We start from the raw sequence: 16,614 nt of genomic DNA on the forward strand, positions 1-16,614 counted from the left end.
TTCAAAAGTCCTACATAACTTGGAGAGAACCAGCAGCTAGAAAACCTGTTTTAAACACACAGCTTGAGTTTTATACAACCCACGTTGTCCAAGGCACGAACTGTTGGACACGAATTCATACTTTAGAAACCAAATCTAATTTCCAAGCGCCAATCTTCACCTCCCGGACTCTAACTCTGCGGCTGCGAGTGCATACACCAGGGGGACTGGAGGAGACTGGAGGCAATTATCTGGATAATCCAAGCCCGAAAAACTCGAACTTGAAAATATACGATTATGTCCTGAAATGCCCGCGTCATTGATCTAGTCTTTCCTACCATCAGAGCTGACACAGCTCCAGTCCACGGGCTTCTCCGCGGGGTCTAGGATCCACAGTCCCTGGGGGCTGAAGACCCAATGGAAGTAACTGATGGATCGCAAATTGGAAATCGTAACGTGGCCGACAGACCTGATCAGGAAAACTCGCGTCCTTATATGAAACAGCCCCGAGGCCGCGAAAGTAGCCTCAGGAGTTGTCAGATTCAAAAGCAATTTTGATTTAAGGTTTTCAAAAGCCCCAGAGGGCAAATGTGACCACTCGGGTCAGCCAGTCAGCAGTTTGGATCCAGACAGGGGACCACCGAGTGGGGCGGCCGAGGAGCCGCGGCGCCTCCCGACGTCACACGCGCCTGCTCGCACTTAGCCACGCGCTTGGGGTTATTCTTTACACTCAGGACTGAAACTTCGCCCGCGAGACCGCGGGGCGCGGAGGAGGGCCGAAACCCAAGGTCCAGGTCCAGGGCCCGCCCCCGCGCGCCCGCGTTGGCGCCCGCGCGCTCCCTCCGCAGGGGTTAGCAAGATTGCGCTCATTCTCGCCCCGGCTGCTCCCCACCCGCTCGCTGCTCTGGGGTACCAGGTCCGCGGCCGCGTTCCCACGCCTCGGCTGGAGCCTTGCGGCGGGCATTGGCGAGCGCGGCCCCGCCCCCTGGCCCAGCCAATCGCGAGCCACGCCGACCAGCGAGGGGGAGGTGCCGGGCGGAAGGCCTGGGCCGGTGCGCGGGGGCGGGTGAGGTGGCCCCACCCGCTCGAGGGGGGGGCGTGGCCGGCGCCGGCTCTTGCGGCCGAGCAGAGTTGCGGCGTGGGAAAGAGCCGCTAGGAGCAGACCGCGCCGCCGCCGGAGCCGCGCCTGCCCAGGCCCGGGGAGGGAGGAGGCGGGCGTCAGGGTGCTGCGCCCCGCTCGGCGTCCGAGCTTCCGGCCGGGCTGTGCCCCGCGCGGTCTTCGCCGGGATGAAGCGCCCCTGCGAGGAGACGACCTCCGAGAGCGACATGGACGAGACCATCGACGTGGGGAGCGAGAACAATTACTCGGGGTGAGCGCGGGCTCCGCGGGAGCGGCCCGCAGCTCGGGAGCTTGGGGTAGCTTTGTGAATGCGTGGCTCCCTGGAAATCCCGAGGCTGGTCTCCGCAGCATCTAGGTAGAGAGGGAAAGTTTGGCCTGAGAAAGTTTGAGTGGTGGGCGCTCGCAGAGCGTGAGTTGGGATGGGGCAAGGGATGTGGATTTTCACCGTAGGGGTGGAGTAGCCAGGATGGGAGACGCCACTGAAAGGCAGAGCGCAGGAGTTGGCGAGGGAGGGTCCTGGCTGTCACAGTTGGACGCGCGAACGGCAGCGTCTGGGCGACAGGCGATGTCCCAGCCACTGAAACCGTATTTGGGGGCACTTTCAAAATAGATCAGGAGAAAATAAAAACAATTTGATTTTTGATTTTTAGAGATACCAAAATCACAACTTGATTTTTGGAGGAATTAAAGCAACCTGCGATGTCAAGGCTACGTAGGTTGAACTTTGCAGGTTGACCGTGTGTGACTTGGCTAACGCAAGAGTGAGTGACAGATGTAAGCATCGGAAAGGGCATCATTTCTTTGACTGCTTGTTCTCAAGTCTGGAAGAGATCGGCGTCGTAATCACAGAAGCCAGACCTCCACTTTCCTGTGACAGAGGGAGATTACCGAGGCATTTTAGAGCCAAGGCGGGTCAAATGATAATTGCTTCTAATTGGCATCCCCAGAAGCACCTTAATTATTTATCTGCAGCTGTCACTCAAAGAGGGAAATTCTTCCTACCTTTGGAAAACTGGTTTTCTTTCATATTGTTATTCTAATACATACAAAGCAAAGCACAAAATCTGCAAGAGCAAAGATATTTACACGAAAGCAAAGGTTTAAGTATCTGATCATTAAAGTGTTGTTGTGCCGTCTTTAAAAATGAGGTCTGAAAAACAGAAGCTATCACGTGAAAGGTGAAACCCGTAAAGAAGGGGTGAAAATGAGGGGGACAGGTAATTCAGAAATAAGATCCAGAAGTGAGAAGGTGAGGTAATAGCAACCTGGTGTGTGCAGCATTTCTAAAATGAAAGAGAACAAATAACAGGAACCTGGGGAATTTGAGAACACAAAGAAGCATAGTATCCATGAATTATGAAGAGAAACAGATACAAACTAGAAAGGATTGTAAAAATTATGTGACCAAATAATACTTTGATTGAACCTTCAATATAAAAATATATTTTCATTAGTAAATCCAAGGTGCATTGCAGCTTCTGGAGATTTAAGCTTAGCCTAAAGTCTGAGACACACCTACAGTTTCATTTTCAAAGTAAAACATTCACCTAGTAATAAAATGAGTTTTAATTTTCCTATCAGTGGCATATTTAGGGCATATTTTTGGAAGATTAGTATGCAAAACATCAAGTTTGTCAATTTTTTCCTGTTGCAATATATGACTAACTGAAGTTTTGAAACAGTAAGATAACTTCTATTTATTTTAAAGTTTGCACCTAGAGACAAGAGTTTGACGTATGACGACTGCACATCTGTTTGATAGTGGTGCTTAACATAACCCTGATTTGAAAAAGTGGCATTATTTTGTTCAGTGTGCCTGACAGGAGGGAGAAGGAAAGCTATTTGAGATTAGTTGACTTTAAAATATATGAGTGGAACTAGGAAATGCTAATATCTAACTTCTCAGCCCAACTGCCGGTAATTATTTCACTGGGAGACTTTCAAGTAAAAATTGTGGGACATTTTGGCCAATGGGTTAGCATCTGGATTACAAATTAAGGCGTAATTTTTACCTGAAAAGAGACAGCCGGGCTGAAAGCAAAGTCCGTTAAGAGTGAAACAAGAACTAAGAATAAAATAACACAGACTTGAACTGTGCAATCACTCTGAATATTTAATGGGTGCCACAAGTACCCAGAAGAAACTATTGTTATGTTAATGCAGCACCTGACATACTCTTCTTATTTCATAGGCAAAGTACTAGCTCTGTGATTAGATTGAATTCTCCAACAACAACATCTCAGATTATGGCAAGAAAGAAAAGGAGAGGGGTATGTGATTTTTCCCCCTTTTTATTTCATGTAACTTATACTATTGTGTAACAGTTACATTTTTTCATTTGAGTAATTTTATCATTTGTGAATTCATAAACTTTTGTTGTTTGCTTCTTTTGGATAGATTATAGAGAAAAGGCGTCGGGATCGGATAAATAACAGTTTATCTGAGTTGAGAAGACTTGTGCCAACTGCTTTTGAAAAACAAGTAAGCTATCCCCTCCCCAGAATCCCCCCACCCACCCCGCCACCCCCCAAAAAAAAGCTCAAACACAATCTGATTCGCTCATCTGGGAATGTGGGTTCTTGTTAAAGCTCATTAAAATAATAGTGTATGTGCCCTGATCTGGCACAGAGCAGCTATTTCAATAAAATGCTTTGTTGTGGCAAAACTATTAAAAACATAATCCATCATGAAGTTGAAAAACATTTCCATTCTTTAGCTTATTTTCCCCTTAAGGGTAACAGTGTTCATGCTTTCTCTGTTCTTTCTATGAATACCAGTAGTGGTTTTATTTAAAACTGTGCTGTATACCGTATCCTTCAAAAAAAAAAAAAAAACCATTTTTTTCTCAAAATTTTTTTAAAATGTAATATTTTTAATTAAAAAACAATCAGAGCCCAAGAAGTAACATCTCTAGCTCTATTTCCTAAATGATAATACCACTAAAATTTATTTACCAAGCCATTTGCTTTCATTTTTAATCCCTGGGTTGGTAGAATGCCATTTGATTTGGGTCATCTTTTTAGAAGTTTGGTAAAAATGAAGTTAATCATAAATGCCCCTTTTCATAGTTACCTATTCCTTTACAAAAAAAGAAAGAAAGAAAAAGATTTTGCACACTTAGAAAAGTAGAAAGCCAAATGTTTAAATCTTTTGTGGTTTTAGAAGTCATGGCTCTCCCCCTGCCGCAGTGGTTAATGACACAGATTTCTAAGAGTATCTTTCAAAGGATATGGCAGCATGTCCTTGTTGAAAATACTTTCAGTTTAATTCCAATAAGACAACAGTTGTTTGTTTATTCCATTTTGTTTGTTTACTTCATGAATCTGCAAACATTATAAAACAAGCCCTACAAAGTCCTTGGAAATTATCCAGAAAGTGCAGTTTCAATTATTAGTGACTTTACTGAATCTGCTTGTACCATTTTCATGGAAAAATTAAACGCTGACCAAATACAAAACATAATATGCTACTGATTATACATTTTTAAGACAAAAAGCACACCCAATCTATATGCAGAGACTGTGTTTGATAAACTAAAAATAATGTGGAAATTGTAGTTTTGATTAGTAGCATTTTCAGTGCCAAATAGGCTTCAAGTGAAAATGTCAGTAATCAATGATGTTTTTAAAATTTGGAAGTACTGAAATGTCTGCAGTTATGAGGCGAAGTCTGTTTGATTTTTTTTCTTGGTTTGTTAGATTTTTTTTTTCTTAAATGTTGACTTAAACCTTAAAAGCAAACATCAGTTGTTTGGCAGTTAGTTACCATAAACACAAGCTTTCCCATTTGCAGAGCTTGGCTACCAACCCAAGTGAGTTGGCCCTGTCACAATATGATTAGAAAAGTGTTCTTTAGAGCAGTTAAGTAACTCTGGCACTCTCACCGTACGTGGTGCTGATAATTTTTACAAAACAAGTAAAGCATAGGGACCTGAAATAAACCTTAGTGTCCTTAAAAAAGAAAAAAAAAGAGAACATATTGGTAATTATTTAGCTCTTCCAGGAAATGAGAAGCCACCCACAGTCCCCGAGACAGCTTGAAATGGCACATTTGTATTTCAATTGGTTACCAGAGGTTTCCTTATTCTGAAAGCAGGGACATAAAAATATATTTGCAAGACAATTTTATTAAGAACTATTTTAAAAGGTTCAAAAATCCTTAAGCATTTATGATGCTTCCTAGGTAAGCAGTAAATTATTGCTTCTTGTTTGTGAGCTTAGAAATTCACAGTGACACCTGCTGGTAATTATTGGGGAAAAAAACCTTAAAAGTCGTCCTTTTTAAAATTTTTGGATCTGCTTGAAATGCAGATCCAATTATATGGTTCTAGTGTGAATACCTTATTTCAGGACTTAGTAGGCCTGTGAAAGGACTTATTGGAGTTTTCTATTTTAAAAATATTTAACAATCAATTGCTAAAATCCTATCTCCTTATCTTCTGGAGTTGTTATGCAACTCCTCTAGACTTTGGCTTTATAGAAGACTATTGATGCCCCATAGTAAAACATATTATTAACCAAGACACAGATTGAATGCAAAGTTTGAGATTTTTACAACTGAAATCATTTTGCTGTGGTGATCTTAGGAGAATAATTATTCTTATGATTTAAAAAAGTCATTCTAGTTTCTTTTAGTCTTTAAAAGTTAAAATGGCAAATACTTGTCATTAGGTATGACATTAATTAGTGCTTTCATGTAAAGTTTGGAAAGAATTCGAAGTTTTCTGTGAAAAAATAAAAGTTGGGATTGTCTAGTGAGAGGGAAATTGAAGCCATAATGCTAAATTCAGTGTATAATGTTTCAGATTAGTTTCTGTAGGACATAGGATTATTTATTTATTTATTTATTTATGAAGGGATCTGCAAAGTTAGAAAAAGCTGAAATATTGCAAATGACAGTGGATCATTTGAAGATGCTTCAGGCAACAGGGGGTAAAGGTAAGTAGATGACTTCATTTTTTTTTTTTTTTGCCTTTTTTACCTTTCTCTTTTCATGTTATTCCCCCTAATATTGTAAGGAAGTCATAGCTGAACAGTTCTTTAACAAGCTGAGATAGGAGGCCCCAGATTAAAGCCATGGAAATCAATGCTAATGGCAGGATTGAACTCGTGGGAAAGAACTTTTGGAACAAAAGAAGCACTTGACCCTGGGCTTGTGTTTGCTTTCATAATACTGTGGGAGTAAAGCTTCATTCACAGCAGCCTGGTCAGAGATTTGTTTAGGACTTAAGAAGCGCATGCTGGAATCTGTACAGAAAGAACAAAAAACAAACACACAAACATCCAAACATAAACAGGAGGTTAGAGGTAATCCTTTTCTCCTCCTTCTGCTTCTTTCTTCCTACTCCTTCTCCTCCTCTGTCTTCATTAAATGAAGGCTAAGACTGAAAATAATTCAGCTATTCCAAAGGAATTGACTCTAGAGTTATTTTCATTATTGTTTTCAGATTTTTGCTTGGTCTTGAATTTAGACCAAACAGAACAGTTGAAGTGCAGGTAGGAAGTCTCTACACCAGAAGCCATTAATGGAGCAGAGTCATTCTTGGGGAAAGCAAACAGGAGCAGGCACTCCAGGTCCAGGGCCCTAGAGAGGTGTCCTCTGTACTGGATAGTGACTTAGGGAGTAATTGTCGAGGTGGTGAGAGAGGATCTCATCTCATGCTAAAAACAGCCTTGAGATCCTAGTTCACTCAGATTTCATTATCCCACTTACACATCACAACTCAGACTTGATTTTGTTCCTCTGAATCTTTTTCATCCTTCAAAGAATCCTTTGATATTCACCTTAGCCAAGGGTGTTATTCAGTATATTTAACAACTGAATAAGGAGAAGGTATCAGAAGGATTTAAGGGCTCCAACTAAATCCTGAAGGCCTCCCGGTGCTCAGCATTAACCTTTTACTACACTGTATACGGGTCCTAGATCAGGGCAGAGGCAGGACATTGGAGGGAAGCAACTGTTACCAATATTTAACTCCTGTATGGCCATACCATTGAGGATCTCTAGAACATCAGCCCTGATCTTAACCATCTTTTTCCTGCGTCTAGTAGGGAGGGAGGGTAACCATTGTACAGAGAAGCCCCAATGGGTTGACTTTTCCCAGATTGTACCTTCTCAAGGAACCATCCTGAATGATGGCATGAAATGCAAACATTCTTACATAATAGAAAAGATAACTGGATTAAATCACAGAAGCCAATGATCCAGCCTAGCTTGACCACTGCTGTGCCTCTGACCTAAGAAAAAAGTCTGGGCTGCACTTTGAGGGCTACACTAGCAGCATGAGCGCCAAGGGCCCCTGCAGCTCCATGATTCTGTCTCTACAACTGCTACCTCAGGATGTTAGGATACTGATTGAATTAGTCATGCTACAAGAAAATTTGTTTGATTGCTTTACTTCCCTTAGCATTGTTAGCCACAAGGCTAAGTTTTCTCATTAGGGTTTCAAATATTTGGCATGAGCTGTACTTCTAAAGAGTAATATTGTTCTTAGGCTTTATTATAAAAACTAAGTTCCATCTTGGTTGCTATTCTTGGCCACCTAGACAGTCCTAAAATTTGTCCCAGAATAGTTTGTGAACAGATATTTCCAAGTAGGCTCCATACACGTCACCTGACTGTCAGGCCATTGAAGAGGTCATTGCACTGGAGAATGGCCTTCAAGAAGGGAGCTGGCGGCTGGGTGTGGTGGCTCATGCCTGTAATCCCAGCACTTTGGGAGGCCGAGGTGGGCGGATCACCTGAGGTCCAGAGTTTCAGACCAGCCTGACCAACATGGAGAAATCCCGTTTCTACTAAAAATACAAAATTAGCTGGGCATGGTGGTGCATGCCTGTAATCCCAGCTACTCAGGAGGCTGAGGCAGGAGAATTGCTTGAACCCGGGAGGCAGAGGTTGTGGTGAGCCGAGATCGCGCCATTGCACTCCAGCCTGGGCAATAAGAGTGAAACTCCATCTCAAAAAAAATAGAAAAAATAAAAAGAAGGGAGCTGGCTGTTTGGGTTAACATTGTAAAAGAATACCAACTGCCTCATAGTGCAGTGGTGAAGGGCATCGTATCTGTAGCTGGATTGCCTGATTTCAAATCCTGGTTCTGCCACTGATTAGCTCTGTGACTTTGGGCAAATTACCCCCTGCGAGCTGGTCCAGTTTTATCATCTGTAAAAAGAGGACAGTTGTAGTGTCCATACTATATAACTCATAAGGCTGTTACAAGTTAATTCACTTAAGGCCGATAGAATAGTGCTGGTGTAGAGGGAGTGGTATGGACATGTATGTTACTGTTGGCCCAAGATCCATTCACAAAAGGGAGCTACTTATCATCATTTCCCTCTGAAGTCCACAATAGGATAGGAATTGCATAATTTATATTCCTTTAAGATATAACAGAGAGCTCAGCCATATATGACAACATAGCAGGCAAACCACAAATTTCAATTACTTCATGACCAGTAATGAAAATTCTTAGAAGCTCTTGGGGCTCCAATTCTGTTAGTTCATTCTTTATAGTCTGTCTTGGTATGACAATAGTATCTAGAGAGGATTTAGTAGAATAACCTAAGTTTCGAAATCCCTCTGGATTTCTGGACTCTGTCTATTCTATTCATTACCCCCGTCTTTCTCTCATGGGAGTCAGAAGTCTGCAAAGCCCTACAGAACCCTGAGGACCAAAATGTGAAATCTTTCCATGAATACCTCTTCTTCAGGAATAGCTTTTCATCCTAATCCAAGAGGCTCTGTTTGTTAACTATGTCAGAGTCCTGGGATGATAACTGTTTTTGCTGCTGATCTTCCGTATTTCATGATATTCTCTTGGTATCAGCTTTGTACTGCTGTTGTTTCTGTTTTAGTAGTGTATATATTTGCCACAAATATCTTTTGGGAACTTCCAAATCGTTGGAATTTTAGCTTTAGGACTCTTAATATATGTGACTACTATCTCCAAAGTTCTTTGATTACAGATTAAGATAGCCAAATTTTTAATAGGTGATGAATAAACAGGTAATGCTTTGATCAGCAAAAACATAGATAATGTAAATGTTTTAGATAAAAATAACTGCTGGGTGTGGTGGCTCACGCCTGTAATCCCAGCACTTTGGGAAGCCGAGGCAGGAGAATGGCTTGAGTTCAGGAGGTCTAGACCAGTCTGAGCAACATAGCGAGATCTTGTCTGTACTAAAAATCACACAGATTAGCCAAGTGTGGTGGCACATGCCTATAGTCCCAGCTACTCAGGAGGCTGAGGCAGGAAGATCACTTAACCCCAGGAGATGGAGCCTGCAGTGAGCTGTGATTGGGCCACTGCACTCCAGCCTGGGTGACAGAGTGAAATCCTGTCTCAAAGATAAATAAATTAATAAATAACCTTATTTGAATGTGATATTTCTTATTCATGTATATACACATCCCCAAAATGAATAGACCAAACTTTTGATTTGGAAATTACTTTTTAAAAAGTTGTAAATGAAAAATAATCTGTTTTTATATACCAGACGTCACTCATTCAAAGTGGGCAACATTTCTCCATATGTCTGATTATTATTGTGCCCTACATGCCCTACATGGGCACTCCAATAATTAGACATTATTATTTTCTATTCTAATGTATTATCTTCAGACAGAGACTCAGATAAATGTGACCAAGCTCTAGCCATTTTTATGGTAGTAACCATAGGTATAGGAGTGCATGCATATACACTGACAAAATTAATATACATTTTTTTTCTTGGGTGTATGCTAGAAAAATGTAAGGACATATATTTGAACTTCAGATAAACTAGGCGTTGACATATAGTATTTTCATATCAGGAACTTAGCCTTATATTACTGACAGAAATATAAGATCTTCAAGTAAGAAACCAAATTTTTTTTAAAAACTCATTTTGTTTTCATTAAATTTTTTATACAAAGTTATGACAAGATGGTTTCACTTTGTTGATAAAAAACATTGTTAGTCAAGAAGCAGTTATGAATTTATTGCGATTCTAGCACATTTCTAAAGTCCTCAAGCTGCTAAGATGCACTTGGCATCTCTGTTAAAATGCCAAGAGAGTAAAGATGTTTCAGATAAGCCCTTTAATCTCCAACTCATGTGACAGAGACAGAGAGACTGGAACTCTGTATTTCCATGAAAAAGTTTCCTGGAGAATTTCACTATCCCACAATACAAAGGGAGAGACCCCATTTCTTTCTCTGGAAGTGTTTGAAACGCGGATGTTCTTAATTTTTTTCCCCACTGTGATATTTAGCTGCAAGAACAACTGTAGCATATTGCATTGCCAGAGTTGTCACACATGTGAGTGGCAAAGTATACTTTCTTAACTTCTGCAAAAAATTAAAACCATAAATAGCTGGCAATATTTCCAGAAAGGATTATCGTTCCACTTCAGTCTTCTGAAGGACAGAGTGGAACATCAGTGGGTGGTTATTGTTGACTATACCATTTTCTCACCCCTACCTCCCGCCCATCTCTCTCCTGTTCCCTACTTTGCTCAAACCCACTTTTAGGCTACTTTGACGCACACGCTCTTGCCATGGACTTCATGAGCATAGGATTCCGAGAGTGCCTAACAGAAGTTGCGCGGTACCTGAGCTCCGTGGAAGGCCTGGACTCCTCGGATCCGCTGCGGGTGCGGCTTGTGTCTCATCTCAGCACTTGCGCCACCCAGCGGGAGGCGGCGGCCATGACATCCTCCATGGCCCACCACCATCATCCGCTCCACCCGCATCACTGGGCCGCCGCCTTCCACCACCTGCCCGCAGCCCTGCTCCAGCCCAACGGCCTCCATGCCTCAGAGTCAACCCCTTGTCGCCTCTCCACAACTTCAGAAGTGCCTCCTGCCCACGGCTCTGCTCTCCTCACGGCCACGTTTGCCCATGCGGATTCAGCCCTCCGAATGCCATCCACGGGCAGCGTCGCCCCCTGCGTGCCACCTCTCTCCACCTCTCTCTTGTCCCTCTCTGCCACCGTCCACGCCGCAGCCGCAGCAGCCACCGCGGCTGCACACAGCTTCCCTCTGTCCTTCGCGGGGGCATTCCCCATGCTTCCCCCAAACGCAGCAGCAGCAGTGGCCGCGGCCACAGCCATCAGCCCGCCCTTGTCAGTATCAGCCACGTCCAGTCCTCAGCAGACCAGCAGTGGAACAAACAATAAACCTTACCGACCCTGGGGGACAGAAGTTGGAGCTTTTTAAATTTTTCTTGAACTTCTTGCAATAGTAACTGAATGTCCTCCATTTCAGAGTCAGCTTAAAACCTCTGCACCCTGAAGGTAGCCATACAGATGCCGACAGATCCACAAAGGAACAATAAAGCTATTTGAGACACAAACCTCACGAGTGGAAATGTGGTATTCTCTTTTTTTTCTCTCCCTTTTTTGTTTGGTTCAAGGCAGCTCGGTAACTGACATCAGCAACTTTTGAAAACTTCACACTTGTTACCATTTAGAAGTTTCCTGGAAAATATATGGACCGTACCATCCAGCAGTGCATCAGTATGTCTGAATTGGGGAAGTAAAATGCCCTGACTGAATTCTCTTGAGACTAGATGGGACATACATATATAGAGAGAGAGTGAGAGAGTCGTGTTTCGTAAGTGCCTGAGCTTAGGAAGTTTTCTTCTGGATATATAACATTGCACAAGGGAAGACGAGTGTGGAGGATAGGTTAAGAAAGGAAAGGGACAGAAGTCTTGCAATAGGCTGCAGACATTTTAATACCATGCCAGAGAAGAGTATTCTGCTGAAACCAACAGGTTTTACTGGTCAAAATGACTGCTGAAAATAATTTTCAAGTTGAAAGATCTAGTTTTATCTTAGTTTGCCTTCTTTGTACAGACATGCCAAGAGGTGACATTTAGCAGTGCATTGGTATAAGCAATTATTTCATCAGTTCTCAGATTAACAAGCATTTCTGCTCTGCCTGCAGGCCCCCAGGCACTTTTTTTTTTGGATGGCTCAAAATATGGTGCTGCTTTATATAAACCTTACATTTATATAGTGCACCTATGAGCAGTTGCCTACCATGTGTCCACCAGAGGCTATTTAATTCATGCCAACTTGAAAACTCTCCAGTTTGTAGGAGTTTGGTTTAATTTATTCAGTTTCATTAGGACTATTTTTATATATTTATCCTCTTCATTTTCTCCTAATGATGCAACATCTATTCTTGTCACCCTTTGGGAGAAGTTACATTTCTGGAGGTGATGAAGCAAGGAGGGAGCACTAGGAAGAGAAAAGCTACAATTTTTAAAGCTCTTTGTCAAGTTAGTGATTGCATTTGATCCCAAAACAAGATGAATGTATGCAATGGGATGTACATAAGTTATTTTTGCCCATGCCTAAACTAGTGCTATGTAATGGGGTTGTGGTTTTGTTTTTTTCGATTTCGTTTAATGACAAAATAATCTCTTAATATGCTGAAATCAAGCACGTGAGAGTTTTTGTTTAAAAGATAAGAGACACAGCATGTATTATGCACTTCATTTCTCTACTGTGTGGAGAAAGCAATAAACATTATGAGAATGTTAAACGTTATGCAAAATTATACTTTTAAATATTTGTTTTGAAATTACTGTACCTAGTCTTTTTTGCATTACTTTGTAACCTTTTTCTATGCAAGAGTCTTTACATACCACTAATTAAATGAAGTCCTTTTTGACTATTTTTTATGTGGATGAGTTGCTTTGCAGAAAAGTTTCCTTCCACTTTCTATGTGGAAAGTCAACATGAATTTCAAGAGGTCTTTATTTACTAACGATCCAAGCTATGGCTTTTCTTTATGTCTTTCAAAATCATTTGATATAATTCACAGCTTGCCTGAAAATAACATTTATCTGAGCTTGTAAACTAAGCATAGGCAGTAAGATACTTGGAGGCAAGAAATAATCAGTTTCCTCTGCCTTTTATTCTTAACTACAGTTCTTGGCAAAGTGCAAATTCAAGACTTCCAAATGGTATACCAAATATAGGATAATAAGCTAGAACATGTCATACATGTTGTAATTCAAAAACATTTGTAGAGTGTTTTAAAAACATCACATACATACATGATAGGCGTGTACATACGTCCTAATGATAAATCCCTTGTGCTTCAATGACAATTTCTTTTGTTGCTGTGGAGATTGTATGGGTATTGCCTCTGCTTCAGTGAGGCCTAAATAAACCATCATAGAGCTCCTGAAGCTATTGGGCCAAACAACATAAAAAGAATGAAAGTGATTTTTATTATGCTTATCAATTTGTTCAAAGGAAAAAGGAGGGCTTTTATATTCTGGTTTTGAAAAATCCAGCAAGTAGTTTAATTTCTGTCTGTAAGTGGGTAATGAAAAGGTCGAGGGGAGGCAAAAGCAAATCACCTTGTTTCTTGTGTCTATAAGCCTTGTGGTTCTTATATTTTCCAGCTGGCTCTAATAGAATGAGGTAGCAAATAAGAAAATTGATTTCGTTGTCTTAGGTGTTTGCTTTATAATCATGATTTGTGGACAACAGCCATATAATTTTTACTTTAAGATCTAAAACCTGAATGTATTCCTATTGTAATGTCAGCATTCAGAGAACTTCTTTTCCTTTTTTGAAATGTAAACTTTTAGAGATCAGGAATTTAAAATTTATTTGAATTAAATATTTTAAGATAAATTCCTTTCCTTCCTCCTTCCCTCCCTTTCTTTTACTTTTTGTTTTTTCTTACATTTTTTATTGCAGGTTATATATGTATTATTATTTTTCTTTTTTCTTTTTTTTTTTTCTTTTTCAAGACAGGGTCTCACTCTGCTCACTCTGTCACCCAGGCTGAAATGCAGTGGTGTGATCATGGCTCACTGCAGCCTTGACCTCCGAGGTGCAGGTGATCCTCCAACCTCAGCCTCACGAGTAGCTGGGACCACAGGCATGCACCAGCACACTCGGCTAATTTTTGTATTTTTTGTAGAGACAGGGCCCTAGTATATTGCCCAGGCTGCTCTTGACCTCCTGCGCTCAATTCATCCATCTGCTTCAGCCTCCCAAAGTGCTGGGATTATAGGCATGAGCCTTCATGCCCAGCCAGATTATTATTTTTCAATTCCACTGACTAAAATATTTGCAAATGAACTTGCAACATAGTTAATAAGAAAGTGTTCCTAAAGATAATCGTTGTCAGTAATTCAATCATTTCAAGTTAATTATGATCAATGTTTCATATGATCAACTTGTAGCATCACATCTCACTGTTTATATTAACCTGACCACCGGAGGTTGCCATCTCCCATCCAAGTGTTCTGTGAAGGTGGTATTCCACCATCAGATGTGGTAATTCTCATGTTTGCTACCAAAATAGAAAAAGAGTTATACCCTTTAAAGTTATTTTAGGGAAAAAGAATTTTCAGGGTTTGATTTATTGATGGTTGCTTTTATTTGTGTAAAAGTCCCAAAATTAACTCAAAGGATTTTTAGTAAGATAAAAGGAAAAAGGTAACACTTTTAGAAATTTGTGTTTTTCCAACTGTTTAAAGCTATGTGCATGACTAATTAGAAATTTTGTTTAAAGTTCACGTCAGTGAGCCAGAAGGTATTTTTTTAAAATAACTGTTATGTGGCCCAGCATTGCACTGTATATGTTGAGTTTTGCATGGTGTATAGTAGCACATCAAAGTACAATCCTATAGACTGATAGTGATAGGTATGGCTGCCACCCTAGCTATTCACAGGGGTTCTCAAAAGAAGGAGGTGCACTAAAAGTGACAAAAGGAGATTCTGGGAGCTAGGGGGAGGAGGCTTTTTGCTCTTCTTTGGATATTTTACTATCACAAATATGATACTGCATTTTTGAAGAAATATGAGAGACCTTTAAAGTGATGTTGAAACATTAAAAAGTCAAAATATATATATTTTTTGAGACAGGGGCTCCCTCTGTCACCCAGGCTGCAGTACAGTGGTGTGATCATGGCTCACTGCAGCCTCAACCTCCTGGGCTCAGGTGATCCTCCCACCTCAGCCTCCCAAGCAGCTAGGGAAAAGTTCAAATATTAACCAGAGAGATGGCTCTCCTATGCACCTGTGCATAGGTATTATCAAACATAATGAAGCCTTTTGGATTATCTTTCTTATATATTCAAATTGTTCTTTTTGCCAATCATTAAGTTACCACAAAGTCAGACTAATCACCTTAGGTAACATCATGAGAAAGCAATATGATTTTAGAATTCTATATTTCCGTGAGTCTAAGACTCCATTAGTTACAAGATACACTATTGGTTGAAGATCAGTTTTTAAAGAAAAAGAACCACTACAACATAAATTTACACATTGACCATAAAACTTCCTAATTGCTAGAATGTAAAAAAAAAAATTTCAATGGCATCTCGGATTTTAGGCAATACAATAACACAGTATTGTACTCCAATGCAATTTTAGAAATTCATGGCTAGAGTTGTACATAGATTAAAATGTGGCTGTTCTAGCTTACTTTTAAAATGTCTCAATAAGATAGAGTCCTACCTAGTAAAATCAAAGAATCTAGATTGACTTTGTAAGCCTAATGGTCTAAAGATAGATGCATTTTTTAAACTTTTTATTGCCCAATGGGACTGCTTCTAGTTGTTCTGCTGCATTTTACTGAAGAATGGAGTTTGACTTCCCCTTATAATTCTTTTAAGATCTAAGCACTGACTGAGGCTGTGAATATTTCAGCAACTACAACAAAGCATTGCAGCAAACATGACATCATAAACTGTGACTATAGCTCATATTATTTGGAAGGCTAAATCTTTGAACTTGGTTGGGAGATCTTAAGAAGAAGAAAAGCCCCTGAGCTTACATAGACAGTCTTGCGTGAGGGGCCAGAGGCAGACGGGAAATGGTTCTCTAGGCATGAGGTGGTGCTTTTTCCCATGGCTCCCTTACTTCTAACTTCAAAGGAAAGGAAAGGAAGTGGTCAGGGAATCTGCTCTGACTGTGGGAACCAGTACCCACTGTAAGGTGCAGGTCTGAAAAAGAAAATCAATTATGATACTAACTGCTAATACTGGTCAGTTGTTCTCTATACTAAGCCCCATGCTAAGTGCTTGAAATCTGTTTCTTCATTTAAGCCTCATAACTGTCCTGTAGAGTAGATAATAGTTTACTTACTTACATATTAGGAATTGGAGAATAAAGCTTAATTGTCCAAGGCCATTCCTAGCAGGTTGAGCTTTGAGTTAAACTATCTGAAAACTATCTGATACTTAAATTCATACTTTTGACCTCTAGGCTGTGGCTTTTGACACTGCTTTTTTGGTCTCAGAGTTATCCAGACTCCCCCAGGATTTCAGCCTGCCTAGGATCAGTTTGGACTAAAGATGACAGTAAATCCAGCTACAGTATTATCGTAAAACCACTTCCATCTCACTCTTTTAATATATGAAAGGATGAAAAAAGGAATAACTCCACTTTATAATGCAACATAAAAGGGAAATTATTTTTGGCAGTTCTCTAGTTTTAACTCAACTTTCAATCAAGTCACACGTATCTTTTCTTCATCTATGAGCTTAATCTTTAAAGG

General features: G+C 40.6%; 1 protein-coding gene and 1 long non-coding RNA gene across 9 annotated transcripts in view, besides 1 other annotated feature; one reads left to right on the forward strand and one right to left on the reverse strand.

Annotated features, from left to right (window-relative positions):
• The window catches only part of HEY2-AS1 (HEY2 antisense RNA 1), a 171,898-nt gene extending 170,983 nt beyond the window's left edge, over positions 1-915 (reverse strand). For 5 of the 6 annotated variants that reach the window (NR_183490.1, NR_183495.1, NR_183493.1 and 2 more), the window contains exon 1: positions 318-915. This is a non-coding gene — a long non-coding RNA (HEY2 antisense RNA 1). The remainder of the gene's footprint in view (positions 1-317) is intronic. The other variant, NR_183491.1, reaches the window with a different exon arrangement.
• Positions 631-1,340: a silencer, noted in NCBI's record as "silent region_17519". NCBI's record gives its function as "represses an Ori minimal core promoter by ATAC-STARR-seq in GM12878 lymphoblastoid cells {active_cell/tissue: GM12878}" and the evidence as "EXISTENCE:reporter gene assay evidence [ECO:0000049][PMID:35858748]".
• HEY2 (hes related family bHLH transcription factor with YRPW motif 2) lies at positions 1,122-12,759 on the forward strand. Of its 3 annotated transcripts, XM_017010628.2 has the most exons (6): positions 1,122-1,349; positions 1,750-3,016; positions 3,291-3,369; positions 3,497-3,580; positions 5,955-6,036; positions 10,607-12,759. In XM_017010628.2, exons 3-6 carry the CDS (start codon positions 3,346-3,348, stop codon positions 11,290-11,292), a joined length of 876 nt encoding a protein of 291 aa, XP_016866117.1. In that variant the 5' UTR covers positions 1,122-1,349; positions 1,750-3,016; positions 3,291-3,345; the 3' UTR covers positions 11,293-12,759. The 3 variants fall into 3 exon arrangements, with proteins under 3 accessions (XP_016866117.1, NP_036391.1, XP_016866116.1); NM_012259.3 differs by lacking the exon at positions 1,750-3,016; XM_017010627.2 differs by lacking the exon at positions 1,122-1,349 and having other exon boundaries at positions 1,360-3,016.
• Positions 12,760-16,614: the final 3,855 nt, after the last annotated feature.

The sequence above is a fragment of the Homo sapiens genome, chromosome 6, assembly GCF_000001405.40.
Source record: "Homo sapiens chromosome 6, GRCh38.p14 Primary Assembly".
Classification (NCBI taxonomy): Eukaryota; Metazoa; Chordata; class Mammalia; order Primates; family Hominidae; genus Homo; species Homo sapiens.

Excerpts from the sequence above, each read along its gene's own strand:
- HEY2 (NM_012259.3), top strand. The coding sequence starts at position 1,267 with ATGAAGCGCCCCTGCGAGGAGACGACCTCCGAGAGCGACATGGACGAG. Across the intron at positions 3,581-5,954 it reads CAACTGCTTTTGAAAAACAA|GGATCTGCAAAGTTAGAAAA; the intron begins GTAAGCTATCCC and ends TTATTTATGAAG. Across the intron at positions 6,037-10,606 it reads TCAGGCAACAGGGGGTAAAG|GCTACTTTGACGCACACGCT; the intron begins GTAAGTAGATGA and ends ACCCACTTTTAG.